The sequence below is a fragment of the Homo sapiens genome, chromosome 5, assembly GCF_000001405.40.
Source record: "Homo sapiens chromosome 5, GRCh38.p14 Primary Assembly".
NCBI lineage: Eukaryota > Metazoa > Chordata > Mammalia > Primates > Hominidae > Homo > Homo sapiens.
The window spans coordinates 90,798,541-90,816,673 of NC_000005.10; the positions used below are offsets into that span (position 1 = coordinate 90,798,541).

An 18,133-nucleotide genomic window follows, 5' to 3' on the forward strand; every position below is an offset into this window, starting at 1 on the left:
AAAGAAAAAGAGGGAATCCTCCTTGACTCATTTCATGAGGCCAGCATAATTCTGATACCAAAACCTGACAGAGACACAACAAAAAAAGAAAATTTCAGGCCAATATCTGTGATGAACATCGATGAGAAAATTGTCAATAAAATACTGGCAAACCAAATCCAGCAGCACATCAAAAAGCTTATCTACCATGATCAACTCGGCTTCATACCTGGGATGCAAGGCTGGTTCAACATATGCAAATCATTAAAAGTAATCCATCACAGAAACAGAAGCAATGACAAAAACCACATGATTATCTCAATAGATGCAGAAAAGGCCTTTGACAAAATTCAGCAGCCCTTCATGCTAAAAACTCTCAATAAACTAGGTATTGATGGAATGTATCTCAAAATAATAAGAGCTATTTATGACAAACCCACAACCAATATCATACTGAATGGGCAATAACTAGAAGCATTCCCTTTGAAAACTGGCACAAGACAAGGATGCCCTCTGTCGCCACCCCTATTTAACATAGTATTGGAAGTTCTGGCCAGGGCAATCAGACAAAAGAAAGGAGTAAAGGATATTCAAATAGAAAAGGAGGAAGTCAAATTATCTCTGTTTGCAGATGACATGATTGTATATTTAGAAAACCCCATCATCTCAGCCCCAGATATCCTTAAGCTGATAAGCAACTTCAGCAAAGTCTCAGGATACAAAATCAATGTACAAAAATCACAAGTATTCTTATACACCAATAACAAACAAACAGAGAGCCAGATCACGAGTGAACTCCCATTCCCAATTGCTACTAAGAGAATAAAATACCTAGGAATCAAATTTACAAGGGATGTGAAGGACCTTTTCAAGGACAACCACAAACCACTGCTCAAGGGAATAAGAGAGGACACAAACAAATGGGAAAACATTTCCATGCTCATGGATAGGAAGAATTAATATCGTTAAAATGGCCATACTGCCCAAAGTAATTTATAGATTCAGTGCTATCCCCATCAAGCTACCATTGACTTTCTTCATAGAATTGGAAAAAACTACCTTAAACTTCATATGGAACCAAAAAAGAGCCCGCATTGCCAAGACAATCCTAAGCAGAAAGAACAAAGCTGGAGGCATCACACTACCTGACTTCAAACTACACTACAAGCCTACAGTAATCAAAACAGCATGGTAGTGGTACCAAAACAGATATATAGACCAATGGAACAGAACAGAGGCCTCAGAAATACACCACACATCTACAACCATCTGATCTTTGACAAACCTGACAAAAACAAGCAATGGGGAAAGGATTCCCTATTTAATCAATGCTGTTGGGAAAACTGGCTAGCCATATGCAGAAAACTGAAACTGGACCCCTTCCTTATACCTTATACAAAAATTAACTCAAGATGGATTAAAGACTTAAAAGTAAGACCCAAAACCATAAAAATCCTAGAAGAAAACCTAGGAAATACCATTTAGGACATAGGTATGGGCAAAGACTTCATGTCTGAAACACCAAAAGCAATGGCAACGGAAGCCAAAATTGACCAATGGGATCTAATTAAACTAAAGAGCTTCTGCACAGCAAAAGAAACTATCATCAGAGTGAACAGGCAACCTACAGAATGGGAGAAAATTTTTGCAATCTATCCATCTGACAAAGGGCTAATATCCAGAATCTACAAAGAACTTAAACAAATTTACAAGAAAAAAAACAAGCCCATCAAGAAATGGGCAAAGGATATGAACAGACACTTCTCAGAAGAACACATTTATGCAGCCAACAAACATGAAAAAATGCTCATCATCACTGGTCATTAGAGAAATGCAAATCAGAACCACAATGAGATACTATCTCACACCAGTTAGAATGGCGATCATTAAAAAGTCAGAAAACAACAGATGCTGGAGAGGATGTGGAGAAATAGGAATGCTTTTACACTGTTGGTGGGAGTGTACATTAGTTCAACCATTGTGGAAGACAGTGTGACGATTCCTCAAGGATCTAGGACTAGAAATACCATTTGACCCAGCAATCCCATTATTGGGCATATACCGAAAGGATTATAAATCATTCTACTGTAAATACACATGCACACATATGTTTATTGTGGAACTATTCACAATAGCAAAGGCTTGGCACCAACCCAAATGTCCATCAGTGATAGACTAGATAAAGAAAATGTGACACATACACCATGGAATGCTATACAGCCATAAAAATGGATGAGTTCATGTCCTTTGCAGGGTCATGGATGAAGCTGGAAACTGTCATTCTCAGCAAACTAACACAAGAACAGAAAACCAGGCACCACGTGTTCTCACTCATAAGTGGTAGTTGAACAATGAGAACTCATGGACACAGGGAGGGGAACATCACACACTTGGGGCCTGTCGGGGTGGGCACTAGGGGAGGGGTAGCATTAGGAGAAATACCTAATATAGGTGACGGGTTGATGGGTGCAGCAAACCACCATGGCATATGTATACCTATGTAACAAAACTGCATATTCTGCACATGCACCCTAGAACTTAAAATATAATAATAATAAAAATAAAGAACGAATGATAGGCAGTATAGAAAATGGTATTGGTGATGCAGTCTTGGATTACGGAAATGGAAGAGCGTATTGAGAACATGATCAACTCCTAAAAACTTTCAAATTCATTTTTAAATTAATCTAACCTCTTTTCTTCTGTAGGTGAACCAGCTTTTCCTCAAATCTGCTCTAACTCATGTTCCATTTTAGCATTTAATTACCGCTCCCTGGGGATCTGCCACATCATACAAATCTGTGTGTACCGGATGGGCCTGTGAGCAGAGGAGCTAGGCGGGAAGGCACAAGTGACCTGGTGCTTTAAGCTGACACCTGGCTATTCACTCTTAGGAAAATAAAGATAAAGAAAAATCATTAGCTGCCCAGCCAGTGACTTTCATGGGGGGAGGGGTACACTCTTACAGGAGAGGTGCGATATACATGATTAAAATTTTTCTGTGATTTATTTGTTTTTTTTTTTTAGCACTTGACCCATGATTCATGTTCAGTGAATGTCATTTTGAATGAATAAAACACCTGTTACCCTCATGTTGCCCAATATTTGAAACCATCATGGTATATATTTTGCAAATTTGAGGATGTGTTGTCTAAATTCATTATATTTAAAAGAAGAAGAGACTTTACAGAAATGGTTGATTTTTACATTCAATCAAGATATGCAAAGTTTTTGGGAATATTCCAGGTTGTGAGATAACTTGGGGGTTATTACCAAGACCAACGTTTCTATGGGAAAATGTGCTGTAAGTTTCAAAAATAACTTTTTGCATAACATCAATACATAAATTCCAGATTCCCCCTATTTTGTTGGATTCTAAAATTTTGAAAATATGTAACACATAGGATTAATTTTTATTTATCCAACATAAATCAGTACACTGAAATTATTCATTTTGAGTAAATATGATGAATTATTAGTATTCAATGAGGAGGAGGAAATTATTCAATGAGGAGGAGGAAAGTGAGTTTTGCCAAGTTTATAGGAGCTGACACTTTGCCAGAGTGCCCCTTCCGTTTTCTTGATACTTGATCCTATCATGAACACTGCCTGTGTGGCTACTGTCATTGGTGAAGCCATTTGGGCACATGTGAAAAATTTGAAAATTTGTGTTTTTTTTGTTTAGTTTTGTTTGTTCTTTTTTGGGGGAGAAGGGGAGACGGAGTCTTGCACTGTTGCCAGGCTGGAGTGCAGTGGCACAATCTCAGCTCACTGCAACCTCTGCCTCCTGGGTTCAAATGATTCTCCTGCCTCAGCCTCCCAAGTAGCTGGGACCACAGGTTTGCACCACCAAGCCCAGCTAATTTTTATTTTTATTTTTTATTTTTTATTAGTAGAGACAGGGTTTCACCATGTTGGCCACGCTGGTCTTGAACTCTTGGCCTCAAGTGATCCACCCGCCTGGGCCTCCCAAAGTGCTGGGATTACAGGTGTGGGCCACTGTGCCCAGCCAATTTGTAGTTTTTTATACTCTACATCTTCCACTCCTTATCTCACACCCTACATACTGGTGGTTTGTTTTGTGATGGGGAAAAGTGCATGTATTGATGAAACTGTTTGCTACTAAAGCAACCTCAGGCATTATGCTAATGGCTCAAGTCAAAGAACAGCATTTTTCTCTGAAAATTATTTCTAAATCACTGACACTGTTTGTTTATAGGTCTTCCTATCACTGGGCTCTAATTTCACTTTGCAACTGGTGACTGTGATGCTTGTCGGTGGACGTTTCTATGGAATGCCAACAATTCTTCAGGAAGCAAAATCTGCTGTCCTTCCAGTCTCTGAGAAAGCTGCCAATTCTCAGGTAATTGGCCCTGTGTGTGGTTCTCTCAGCAGAACACTAGAGGGCAGCTTTTACAGGAAGGACGGAGACTCTTAGAGCTAGAATTTCTCATGAGTAACTATTTTCTTAAATATAAATAACTCTGTGAATATCAAAGTAGATGTAACAGATATATTATATAAAATAATTAGTCTATTTTCAACATTCAGTAGGAAAAAAAGAGATATGTCCATATCTCTTCTTGATATTTTGTATCTAATATTGAGGTATTTTATGTTAAATAATTAAAATTATAATGAAGCACTAATATTCCACACTTTTTCGCATACTAACATTGTGAATGTTTATGTTTAATATTCAGACTTTGGTTTACAGGGGCGAGTTTGTCTTGATGTAGATAAATGCTGATGGTCAGATCCTGTGATATGGTTGCAACTAAGTATTTGCATCTTCTGTCTGAGGTCGTTGTAGGAAAGATTATTTCCCAATCATTTCATAAATGCACATGAGAACAAAGAACAACTTGAGGGCTTTCCTTTCCTTTCAGGCGGATTCTGTCAATATATGAAAAAGACAAGGCTGTTATCTGTGGCTATGGTAACGTGTGTATGTTTGAAGCCATTGTGTGATATAATTCTATCCTACTCCTTCAGGTGGGAGCTGAAGTGACTCGGGCAAGCCTGGCTCAAGATGCTGAGGTGGAATCTGTACAGATGAATGGGCAGGAATATGGGCAGATATAGTCTCTGGCCACTAAGGGATGCTCTTCAGCTACTCCCGCCTGAGCATCTTCTCCAAGGAGAATGAATGTGCTTTTTCTCTTAAAATAGAATACACTGGCTATTAAAATAACTGAGAGTAAAAGGTTTTTTTTTTCTTTACCTCCTCTTCTTTAAGAGTGAATGAGGAAATAGAATTGATTAATGCTTTGAATTTTGTTGTCTTCTTTTTGTTCATGTGTTGTTATAAAAAAAAAAGATTCAGCAAAACCATTCATTTGGAGGAAAACATTTCCTACTCCTTATCCATGCACATTGTCACAATACTGTATCACCCCAAAGGGCAAGGTTAGAGTCCATCATGGTACATTCACATCTTTGGTGTAACCTCTATACTTGTATCAGTGTTTGGTGTGTGTGTGCACGCATGTGTGTGTGTATGTGTGATGTGGCTAGGGCATTTCAAAATAGCCCTCTAGTCATGTAGCAAGAATGATCTCACTCAAAGCTTTTGGCAGTTGCTAAGCAGAAGCCTCACTGGGCTGGGCATGGTGGCTCATGCTTTTAATCCCAGCAATTTGGGAGGCCCAGGTGGGTGAATCCCCTGAGGTCAGGAGTTTGAGACTAGCCTGGCCAACGTGATAAAACCTTGTGTCTACTAAAAATAGAAAATTAGCTGCATGTGGTGGCATATGCCTGCAGTCCCAGCTATTGGGGAAGGTGAGGCATGAGAATCACTTGAACCTGGGAGGCAGAGGTTGGAGTGAACCGAGATCGTACCATTGCACTCCAGCCTGGATGACAGAGCGACGCTCTGTCTCAAGAAAAAAAAAAGAAGAAAAAGAGAAGCCTCACTGTAACAGAGAATCTAGGCTGGGGTCAAATTAAAGTAGTTGTTGTTTCTTTTCCTCTGTGGCTCCAGAAGTTATCCTGCGGAACCCTCTCATGTTTTTCTGTTATTCTTCATTCCAATTTAAGAAGGGGAGAATGAGTTTTAATATATAACTCTTGATTAAATGGTATCCCAAATTTATAGCTATTGAGACCAAAAGAGGTAAACTGAATTGTTCAAATCAAAATGTGAAGCCAGGAATCTGCTTTTATTCTTACTCATTGCTCAGAACTTATTTCATCTATAAATCACATACCCTGGGAACGTTGCACATAAAACAAAATCTTACTTGATGCTTGTGATAAAGATGGGTATTAAAAAAAAACTTTGAAGTTTTCTGGTCTTCAAAAAAAGATATAAAATTAAGTCAGAGCTGAAAAGAACCCTAATAGAAGGTCTAGTTCATGGTGCTTACTTTATAAATGAAAAAATACACTATTATATCTTAGAAGTCAAATTTTAGTTCTACAAATGAGGTTCTGGAAAGACCCATGAACAAGTCATATTAAATGCCATTTAACATATTTTGCTTTCATTTAACCATAATTATGCTTATCTTTTTTTGGATGTTGTTCATTCAAAAGATAACGTTTTGATTAAAAAAAGAAAAAGCTATCAACTATAACCTAAATAATAAAGTAAAATAAATTTTAAAGTCTGAGATGTTATTTCTTAAGCACTTCTCTTTAATTCAGTATGAGACAAGGATATATATTGTATAAACCAAGGGAAAGTTTACGTTTAACCCATTCCTCAGAAAACAGGAAGGTTTAGAGAGAAATAAAATACTCTAAGCATGATTTTCCCTCAGGTCGGATTTGAATCCACTGCTTTTCAACTCATGAACATCACTGCTGGCACAAGCCACGTTATGATTTCTAGGAGAGGCACATATGGAGCTCTCTCGGTTGCCTGGACCACTGGATATGCTCCTGGGTTAGAAATTCCTGAATTCATTGTTGTTGGCAACATGACCCCAACACTGGGTGAGTTGTAGTTTTTCTAAGATGAGTCCTGTAGAATATTGGAAGGATATCACTGGCCACTAATTGTCTTGGGTTATCCTTATTCTGGACACTAAATGTAGTTTTCGAATACAATGCTCCCATATTTAAGTGATCAGAGTAGTGCAGGCTGCTTGGTGAGAAAAGGAGAGAAGCTTTTTTCAGTCAAATTAACAACTCCATGCCTTACCTCAAAAGACTGGGGTCACTAAGCAAACTACTCTGTCCATACAATAGGAGTTTGTTGAAAGTAGTTCTAAGAATCTAATTTGGCAAATACAGTAATAAGAAAAATAAAAATACATACAGCTCTTGTATGCATTTCCATGTTCACCTGACTATTTCTGGCAGTAGGGCAGCTGTTACTTTAGATACTTTATTTTTTAAAGTATACCATTAGGTCTTTGAGAGCTAGTGAGATGCAAATGTTAGATGGTTTGACCTCTACCGTGTTATAGCAAGCTCATTGCAAATTTAGATAATGAGAGTTTATAAAGAACCCTCCAGTGGGCTCTGAATCTGAGGATCTCCCTCCTTGATTCACAGGGTCTTGTTGGTCACCAGCCAAACGCCATTTACACTCAGTAAGAAACCTAATGAATCCTGCAGAGGACTGAGATCCTCAGTCTCTCAGAAAGGAGGGAATGATTTTCATTTTCCCAAGATCTCGGCATCACTGAGAGATAAGAAGGAATGAAAGCTAAGGTCCTATAGAAGATGGGGGATGAGGGCTAGGCCAGTGAAAATGACAACATTTTCATGCCAGCTTCCATCCTAACAGGAATCCCAGAAAACAGAAAGAGAGAAATTAGCTGCGTGATTGAGAGACACCATAGTGTGATAACTGCCTTGGATACTGGGGTTTCTTTAGCCACTGCATAGGTGCCCCTGATGTGATGTCTCAGACATTGTCTCCTCTTGTTTTCCTTTTGGCATGTCCCCTAAGTTAAAGATATTTAATTATTTTTTCCTGTTTATTTTCTAGCCCTTTTTTTCCTGCAGAAACTCTTGTCTTTTACTTCCTTACCCCTCTGTCACTTTGGGTGATATGCATAGCTTCATATAATCTAGGGTGTTTGCAAAAATTTTTTATGTTAGTAACCACTTGCTACATATGAAAAGACTTATGTGTAGAAATATTGCTTATTATGAGTGTATATGCGGCTTTGTGCTTACATATCACATTAGTCTTCAAACGCTTTTGTGAGTTTATGTTAACTTGATTCAGCTAAAATAACAGGAGTTCCCAAATAATAGATCTGTATCTTCAAACAGGTTCATTTAGTTTTTTGAGCCTTTGTAATAAATTTTCAAACACAATGGAAAGTACAGTGAACACCCATAAACTCACTGACTAGATTTATTTATTTATTTTATTTTTAATTTTTTTTTTTGAGACAGAGTCTTGCTCTGTCACCCATGCTGGAATGCAGTGGCGCCATCTCAACTCACTGCAACCTCCACCTCCCGGGCTCAAGGTATTCTCCTGCCTCAGCCTCCTGAGTAGCTGGGATTATAGGCTCGCACCACCATGCCTGGCTAATTTTTGTATTTTTTGTACAGATGGGGTTTCACCATGTTGGCCAGGCTGGTCTCAAACTCCTGACCTCAGAATCCGCCCTCGTCGGCCTCCCAAAGTGTTGGGATTACAGGCGTGAGCCACTGTGCCTGGCCTTGACTAGATTTAATAGTTGTTACAGTCTGCTATATTTGTGACATTTTTTCTGAAGCATTTTAAAGTAAAATACATAGATTATGATATTTCACCCCAATCTACTTCAATATGTATCCTAAAAATATGCTGGGGCCAGAATTTAAACCAAAGCCTGACACTAAGTCTATATTAAAGCTTGCCTAACACCAGTATCTTTTCACTACTGGATTTTGTCATTGAGCCAGGAAAGAAAAAGATATAAAGGAGAAAAGTAAACAGGGACCGAAAGCAAGATTTGTGTGGTCTCCTGTAAGTTTACCTCTCCCCCGACCCCTTTTTAAAAATGTTTTACCTTTTGTGAACTATAATTGAATTTTGGAAAAGAAAATACACTACTACAGTTTTAAAAGTCAAATCCCAATTTAAGAAAAGAAATAATACCCTACTTTGCTTTTTCATGTTTTCTTTCAGGGAGCCTTTCATTTTCCCACGGTGAACAAAGGAAAGGAGTTTTCCTGTGGACGTTTCCTAGCCCTGGTTGGCCAGAGGCCTTTGTTCTTCACCTATCAGGAGTGCAGAGCAGTGCTCCTGGCGGAGCTCAACTCCGGTAAGACCAACCTCATTCTCACCCAAGAAATTCTCTGAGGAATAATCTGGAATTCATCCATCAAAACAGAAAAAGGCACAAGGGTTATTCTCCTTGAAGCAAACACAAACATAGTTTTAGTGTAGAGCATCACGTGGCGTGCATGCTGGAGAGGGAGGTGGCTCTTAGGAGCCCCACCACCCACTGTTTGCTCTAAAGAGAGCTCCTCATGCCCCACCTTGAGAATGGGGTCTGGGGTACCATCTCCACTAAGAGCCATGATGGCAGTTCTCCTCTTGTTAAAGACAGCTATCTTCTGAGAAGCTGAAAATACCTGATTGCCCCAAGTGATTAAGAGTAAGAATAAGATTAAGTAAGAATAAGACATCACAGTAGGGTGATAATATTACTTATTTGGACCAGTGGCCCTTTGACTTTAATTTAATTTTATTGAATTTTACTATGTATCTATAATGACTGTTTCTGCAAATACAGTATATTTGCAGATAAATACGTACCAGCCAAAAGCAATTTACTTTCCTTATTTCTGGGATAGACTCGACCAGAGCAGCAGAGGGCAGACCTGCTATTCAGACTTAGGGATTTAGTCCTGGCTCTGCCACTTACTCGCTGTGTAACTTTGAGAAAATTACTTGATCTTTCTGTTCTTCAGTTTACTTGTAAAATAAAGAAAATTTTGGGGTATGAAAACTAGAGTGTATTCAAGTATGTTTGTGTACATGTTTATGTGTGGGGGATCTCCATTGGGGAAATAAAATATGACTTTAGATTATACATATGCCATTTTTAAAATGTTCATCCAGAGAACATATTTTAGGGTTACAAATTCAAATGCTTTAACAGCAACAATAGTTATTAACAGTATTATAGTGCTTGGCCAGGCGTGGCGGCTCACGCCTGTAATCCCAACACTTTGGGAGGCCACAGCAGGCAGATCACCTGAGGTTAGGAACTCAAGACAAGACTGGCCAACATGGCAAAACCCCATCTCTACTTAGAATACAAAACATCAGCCAAGTGTGATGGTGCGTGCCTGTAGTCCCAGCTACTTGGGAGGCTGAGGCAGGAGAATCGCTTGAGCCCAGGAGGCAGAGGTTGCAATGAACTGAGATCGCGCCACAGTGCTCCAGCCTGGGCAACAGAGTGAGTGAGACTCCGTATCAAAAACAACAAGAAGTAGTATTATAGGGCTTACCCTAGGCCAGGCATAAATGTTTTTTTTTTTTTGAGATGGAGACTCGCTCTTTCGCCCAGGCCGGACTGTAGTGGTGCTAGCTCGGCTCACTGCAAGCTCCGCCTCCCGGGTTCACGCCATTCTCCTGCCTCAGCCTCCCGAGTAGCTGGGAGTAGTTGGGACGACAGGCACCTGCCACCGTGCCCTACTAATTTTTTGTATTTTTAGTAGAGATGGGGTTTCACTGTGTTAGCCAGGATGGTCTCGATCTCCTGACCTCGTGATCCGCCCACCTCGGCCTCCCAAAGTGCTGGGATTACAGGCGTGAGCCACCGCGGCCAGGCATAAATCTTACAGTGCTTACTCTAGGCCGGGCATAAATACACACACACACACACACACACACACACACACACGCTCTGTCTCTCTTTACTCTCCCCAGCAACCTTACAAAGTAGATTATATTATTTGTCTCATTTTATAGATGACGAAAGTCATAGATAGATTATGCGATAAACCCAGAAGCACACAGTTAATATATGTTGGGGCCATGATTTCAACCCAGGCTGAATGGCCTCTGTGTGAGGTATTAACCACTGTTTTATGTACTGAGTGCTGGCTGCTTGACAAGAGAGAGTAATGGGACCTGAAGAATCCTCCCTAAAGGCATTTAAATTTATATTAAAACCAAAAACTTGTTAGCAAAAGAAAATAAACCTGTAGACAGAATTAGGCCGAGAGACCAGCAGTTGTAACCTCTGATATAGCTATTAACTCACAACAAAAATCTATAGGAAAAAAACTAAGAATAAATGATTCTATCATGGGTGTCTGTCCTCATTCATACATAAAGTTTTAGCCACATTTGCATGAGAGGTTAGTTCCATTACTGGCAGCTGAAGAAAGCAAGGATTTTACTGCTAGTGCCAGTAACTATTTCTATTTGGTAGATAACAAAGCTGGCAGAGGTCCAGAACATTGTAGTAATATTGTTCCCCTTGTACTGATCCTAAGAGAGAGCCTGATTTTCACATCCCTCAGACAGCTGCTCTGGGATGATGGAGAAATAGACCAGAGACCTATAAGCTTTTCATTTAGCTCAGACTTGTTAGTTCCTGTCCCTGCTTTTGCAGCTCCTGTTCTTACATTTCTTTTGCCCTTACATATCAATAAATAGGGTTTGATGGAATTTGAAATGGCACGTCATTGTTAAGTTGCTGCCCTCATGAGCAGCATTTTAAATATGTGAATGATGAATCTCTACAGTCATATTCCTATTTTTTAAAAAATCAATTTCTTCATGATTTAATTTTTTTCCCAGATCAGGTTTCATTGTTGCTGAAATTGAACCAATGGGCGTCTTCCAATTTTCCACTAGCTCAAGAAATATCATAGTGTCAGAAGATACACAGATGATCAGATTACATGTACAAAGACTATTTGGGTTCCACAGCGATCTTATTAAAGTTTCTTATCAGACCACTGCAGGAAGCGCCAAGCCACTGGAAGATTTTGAGCCTGTTCAGAATGGGGAACTGTTTTTTCAAAAATTCCAAACTGAGGTTGATTTTGAAATAACCATTATTAATGATCAGCTTTCTGAGATAGAAGAATTTTTTTACATTAACCTTACTTCAGTAGAAATTAGGGGATTACAAAAGTTTGATGTTAATTGGAGCCCACGCCTGAATCTAGATTTCAGTGTTGCAGTGATTACAATATTGGATAATGATGACCTGGCAGGAATGGATATTTCCTTCCCCGAGACAACTGTGGCTGTAGCAGTTGACACAACTCTCATTCCTGTAGAAACTGAATCCACCACATACCTCAGCACAAGCAAGACGACTACCATTCTGCAGCCAACCAACGTGGTTGCCATTGTTACTGAGGCAACTGGTGTATCTGCCATCCCTGAGAAACTTGTCACCCTTCATGGCACACCTGCTGTGTCTGAAAAGCCTGATGTGGCCACTGTAACTGCCAATGTTTCCATTCATGGAACATTCAGCCTTGGGCCATCCATTGTTTATATTGAAGAGGAGATGAAGAATGGCACATTCAACACTGCAGAAGTTCTTATCCGAAGAACTGGTGGGTTTACTGGCAATGTCAGCATAACAGTTAAAACTTTCGGTGAAAGATGTGCTCAGATGGAACCAAATGCATTGCCCTTTCGTGGTATCTATGGGATTTCCAACCTAACATGGGCAGTTGAAGAAGAAGACTTTGAAGAACAAACTCTTACCCTTATATTCCTAGATGGAGAAAGAGAACGTAAAGTATCAGTTCAAATTTTGGATGATGATGAGCCTGAGGGGCAGGAATTCTTCTACGTGTTTCTCACAAACCCTCAAGGGGGAGCACAGATTGTGGAGGAGAAGGATGATACTGGATTTGCAGCTTTTGCCATGGTTATTATTACAGGTATATCTTTGAAATGATGGAGATAAAAATATACTTTTATGGTACATAATTTGTATTAAGGTGAATCTAGCTTAAATTTAATGGAAGAAGGTGAAGTTCTTAAGTTATTCATAGGAATGCATTAAAGTGTTGTTTTTCTGTAGCATGGACCCATGACATGAACTCATGATGTGCTGTTCTGAGGGCCCTATAATTTAATGTACTATAAATGTCACTGAGATCAGAGCCAGTAATACAATCTATAAATCTATACTCTCACAATATAAATAACGTTTAATTTAATCATCCAAACACATGATTGCCTATCCTGTTTTGAAACTTGATTCTAAATTTACCAGCTACTTTCAGTAATCCATCCTAAAGTCAAAGATCTCATTGGCAGGAAATTCTTTTTTTTTTTTTTCTGTTACCAAAAAGATTTAAACTGTTGCCTTTTGTTTTGCTTTTGACCCAATGTAGTTGATATAGCCATCATACTATTGTGTATATACGTTACAATAGCTTAAAATTTTAATAATTTTTTTGTTTCTCATGTATCTTATGCAATCTTTTCATGACAGTTTGCAGTTTACCTCTGAAATCATACTGTATTTTTTTTTTTTTTTTTGGAGATGGAGTCTTGCTCTGTTGCCCAGGCTGTAGTGCAGTGGCATGATCACAGCTCACTGCAACCTCTGCCTCCCGGGTTCAAGCAGTTCTCTGACTCAGCTTCCCGAGTAGCTGGGATTACAGGCACCTGCCACCACGCCCGGCTAATTTTTTTTATTTTTAGTAGAGACAGGGTTTCATCATGTTGGCCAGCTGGTCTTGAACTCCTGACCTCGTGATCCACCTGCCTCAGCCTCCCAAAGTGCTGGGATTACAGGCGTGAGCCACTGCACCCGGCCTGAAATCATACTGTATTTCTTTAAATGAAATACATCAGCATGTCAATACCTTATAGGAATTAGAGAAGTGACAGGCTATCTCATGATTCTTTTCTTTTTTCATTTTCATGTTTTATTGTAAAGTGACAACTTATAATTGTACATATTTAGAGGGTACAAGGAATGATGTTATGATTATAAATGCAGTGTAGAATAATTTAATCAAGCTAGTTAACATGTACATTACCTCAAGTACTTAACTTTTTTTATAGTGAGAATATTTCAAATTTACTATCTTAGAAACTTGGAAATGTACAGTACTCTATATTAACCATATTCACCATTCTGTGCAATAGACCTCAAAACATATTTTTGAGATTTGATGCTTCCTAGAGTTCGTATTTTATTTTAGCCACTCAGTTTTAATTCAGTCATAATTTTGCAATCTTTTAACTTCCTTTCATATGCTCAGCATTATCTCATTTATGTTAACCTACAAATTTACATCAATTAGTATGATTTATTCCTGTTTCTACAGTTTATGAAGTGTGTTGTAAATTCTTATTCTATTCTACAAGTTATTTACTGATTTTGATTCAAATTGGCTTAATGCCATTTATATATTTCTATTAAAATTAATTTGGTAGCTGGGCACGGTGGCTCACACCTGTAATCCCAGCACTTTGGGAGGCCGAGTCGGGCGGATCACGAGGTCAGGAGATCGAGACCATCCTGACTAACACGGTGAAACCCCATCTCTACTAAAAAAATACAAAAAATTTGCCAGGCATGGTGGCAGGCACCTGTCGTCCCAGCTACTCGGGAGGCTGAGGCAGGAGAATGGCGTGAACCTGGGAGACGGAGCTTGCAGTGAGCCCAGATCACGCCACTACACTCCAGCCTGGGCGACAGAGTAAGACTCCGTCTCAAAAAAAAAAAAAAAAAAAAAAAAAAAAAAAATTTATTTGGCAGTCAGCATCCTCCTTCTCATTCTAATAGAGACACAGATATTTTATTACAGGTATTTGAATATAACCAGGGCTGATAGTAAAAATACTTAACAATTAGTTTGGCACTGGCCAGGCCCATTAAAATGGCTTCTGGAGGTTCTTTGCTGTTCCAAGCCATACTCCATTAATTACTGGATCATGGGGAGGTCTTGTTGTCCTGGTTAGGGAAGTGGCAGAGGACTCTTTAGGGGCTCAGGATAGAAGTTAGGTACCAACTGGAATGGAAGTGCTTCCCTGTTTTATCAGACAATATAGCCTACCAGTGCCTACCCCTTCATCAGCTCTGAGCTTAGTTTTAACTCAACAGGCAAATGGTAACTCAGCTGAGCTCTGTGAGATTCTGTAATGTTTACCTTCCCTACATAAGGCACACTCATCACACACCTGTTGCAAATGACCGATACCCTACCATAGCTACCACTAATGTCGTATGATGTAATTGGCCTGACTACACCACCAGGCACATTCACGTGGTCATAATACCTTAAGTTCCTTTACCTGCAAATGTTGCCCTCATCTTTTCCCTACCTGACATTTTTTTCTTAATAATATTTCTCACTTAACCGGATAATTAATTTTGCTGCATCCACCTACCTTTATAATCTTTTCACATTTAGATTTTAGAACAAACTTTCTGAGTAAGTCAGGGAAAAAATAGTTTATTTAGTTTTGATTTTGATCATTGGCACATTACAAGTCTGGAATCATTTTACTAGAAATTTGAAATCAAATTTATTATTGTAAATGTGACAAGGGAAGTGTTTTTTCATTAGAATCATGCTAGTTGCTATTGCCTTGGAAAAGGAAATGAGGGTTCTGCTGTGATAGTCTTGTAATCTACTTGAAGAGCCCAAATCCTCACTTAAGGTGACAAGAAAAGAATTGCTGCCAAAGATAAAAAGTCAATGTCAGATTCTGATACCAGGCTACGAAGTGATTGCAGTGATTAATTGGTGAGGATGAGAATTGGCAGTCTGAAACAAAACACACATGAGACCCTAGGACAAATGTAGCCCATCACTTGCATGTCCCTAATAAAGGGGCTCCACATTTACTTTAAGACCAGGGAAATGGTCCAGGGGCTGATGACTACTAGTTCTTCCCTATCAGGACAGTTCAGTGGTTTTCTGTTTCCTTAACCCAACCTACTCCCTAATTTCAGAAGTTCTGTCTCCTTAGAATGCCAGGAATCAGGTTTCAGGGTGATGGGTACACATGATAATATGGTTTGGCTCTGTGTCCCCACTCAATTTTCATCTCCAGTTGTAATCCCCCAAATCCCCATGTGTCAAGGGTGGGATCTGGTGGGAGATTATTGGATCATGGGGGCAGTTTCCCCCATGCTGTTCTTGTGATAGTGAGTGAGTTCTCGTGAGATCTGATGGTTTAAAAGTAGCACTTCCTTTGCTGTCTCTCTCCTGCCACCATATATGACGTGCTTTGCTTCCCCTTCCACCGTGATTGTAAGTTTGCTGAGGCCTCCCCAGACATGCAAAACTGTGAATCAATTAAACCTCTTTTGTTTATAAATTACCTAATCTCAGGTAGCATCTTTATAGCAGCATAAAAATGAACTAATACACATGGTTTTCGAGGCCAATTGCTTTAGGATCATTGCTTCTAGGACCAATGCAAAACAGGGCCATGGAGAATAGAAAGCAGTCAGAACTATGCAGTGGTATTTCTCTAGTCTGAGAAGCTGGCTTAGTTGCTGCCTAGGGTTTGAAGTGATGATTTCTGTATAGTATGAACCCTAGTTTTGTTCCAGTTTAAACATTTTTTTTTTTAGTATAATGGTACCCGTAACCTCAAGTGTTGCTTAGGAAAGTTTCTGATACCGAGATGCTCAGGAGTTCCTTAATATTTCTGTTTTGTTCTGGGGCAAATAGCTTCATGGATAGCATAGAGGGTCTTTTAATCAAACGTCTTATGTGAAGGTAAATCCGTTGAACAGAGTTCATTTATTTGACAAGTATTTATTCAACACTTACTATATGCTCAGTTCTGTTCTCGGAGCTGGGGATACAGTAGCGAATAAAAGTTGATGCTCTAGTAGGGCTTACATTCTGTGAGGGATATATAGCCTTAAAACAGATAAATATCTAAAATTTCAAGGACTGTCAAATGTAAAGTAGGATCTTAATAGAAAAATGAATATGTGTGTGTCAGGGGGAAAGAGTGGGATTTGATGTTTTATTTCTTCTTTTCTTCTATTCCCAGTTAGACACCTTGATGTTATCACAGTTTAGTTTATTTTTAATAAAGATCTTTTAACAACTGTAGCTCTCCTCACCACCTGTGAATTTCTCACTTTTAAACCATCTGAGCTGGCAAGATTAGTGGAGCATGGGAGGTCTTTTAAATAATTCTTGAATATATTATAGCCCTCCATTCTTTTTTTCAGGGAGTGACCTTCACAATGGCATCATAGGATTCAGTGAGGAGTCCCAGAGTGGACTAGAACTCAGGGAAGGAGCTGTTATGAGAAGATTGCACCTTATTGTCACAAGACAGCCAAACAGGTATGTGTATATATAGTATATGGAAGACGTAACATTCTGTGTGTCTGTACAAATGTAATTTCAATTCATACAATGGTGGAGGGCAGGGTAAGATAGAAGGAGGTAGTGTCGAATTTGGCACGTCTTCAGATGCTCTAGTTCTTAATTTGTGATTATGGTACTTCGTTTATGATCATAACTTAGGGTTACCTTGAGTGTTTTCTACTTCATGAAGTACCATACAAATATCAGACTATGTAGGTCATCACTTCATCATATTGCCTATTATCTGCTCACTCTACATACATACCATTTTCCTGTGATGAAAACTTGGAGTACCAAAACTTTGTTTGCAACTTAAAACTGTATAGTAGCATCTTTAGATGCTCATCACATACACGTGCTTGGTATGCACACATGCACATGTGTATATATTACATTTTCCATTTTGGGCCTAAATAATCTGTGAGAATGTTGGTCTCCCTTTGCCCTATTTTACAATAGCAACCATTATGAGTGGAAGTGTTGTTTCTTTAGAAAAATCCTTTTTAAAAGAGAAATGAGGAACATTTACTTGCCTTTAGGACCTCCCTATAATTCTCATTTTCACATTTTTTGGACATAATAGAAAAATATATTTTTTTAATTTTCTGTTTTTTTTTAAATTTTATTATTATTATAATTTAAGATTTTTTAAATTTTATTATTATTATACTTTAAGTTTTAGGGTACATGTGCATAATGTGCAGGTTTGTTACGTATGTACACATGTGCCATGTTGGTGTGCTGCACCCATTAACTCATCATTTAGCATTAGGTATATCTCCTAATGCTATCCTTCCCCCCTCCCCCCACCCCACAACAGTCCCCAGTGGGTGATGTTCCCCTTCCTGTGTCCATGTGTTCTCATTGTTCAGTTCCCACCTATGAATGAGAACATGTGGTGTTTGGTTTTTTG

At 38.9% G+C, this 18,133-nt stretch overlaps 1 protein-coding gene across 14 annotated transcripts in view, besides 1 other annotated feature; it reads left to right on the forward strand.

Moving 5' to 3' along the window:
- The window catches only part of ADGRV1 (adhesion G protein-coupled receptor V1), a 605,641-nt gene that overhangs the window by 239,744 nt on the left and 347,764 nt on the right, over positions 1–18,133 (forward strand). For 11 of the 14 annotated variants that reach the window (NR_003149.2, XM_017009963.3, XM_017009969.3 and 8 more), the window contains 5 exons: positions 4,199–4,342; positions 6,744–6,918; positions 9,062–9,197; positions 11,693–12,798; positions 17,079–17,196. Coding sequence is in view for 13 of the 14 variants with exons in the window: in XM_017009963.3 (XP_016865452.1) it covers positions 4,199–4,342; positions 6,744–6,918; positions 9,062–9,197; positions 11,693–12,798; positions 17,079–17,196 (1,679 nt within the window). In the remaining variant the exon portion in view is untranslated. Of the gene's footprint in view, positions 1–4,198; positions 4,343–6,743; positions 6,919–9,061; positions 9,198–11,692; positions 12,799–17,078; positions 17,197–18,133 lie in introns of those variants that run through there. The other 3 variants (XM_017009968.3, XM_017009970.3, XM_017009971.3) reach the window with 3 other exon arrangements.
- Positions 2,799–2,999: a silencer, noted in NCBI's record as "peak5350 fragment used in MPRA reporter construct". NCBI's record gives its function as "represses an SCP1 promoter by STARR-seq MPRAs in K562 erythroleukemia cells {active_cell/tissue: K562}" and the evidence as "EXISTENCE:reporter gene assay evidence [ECO:0000049][PMID:32103011]".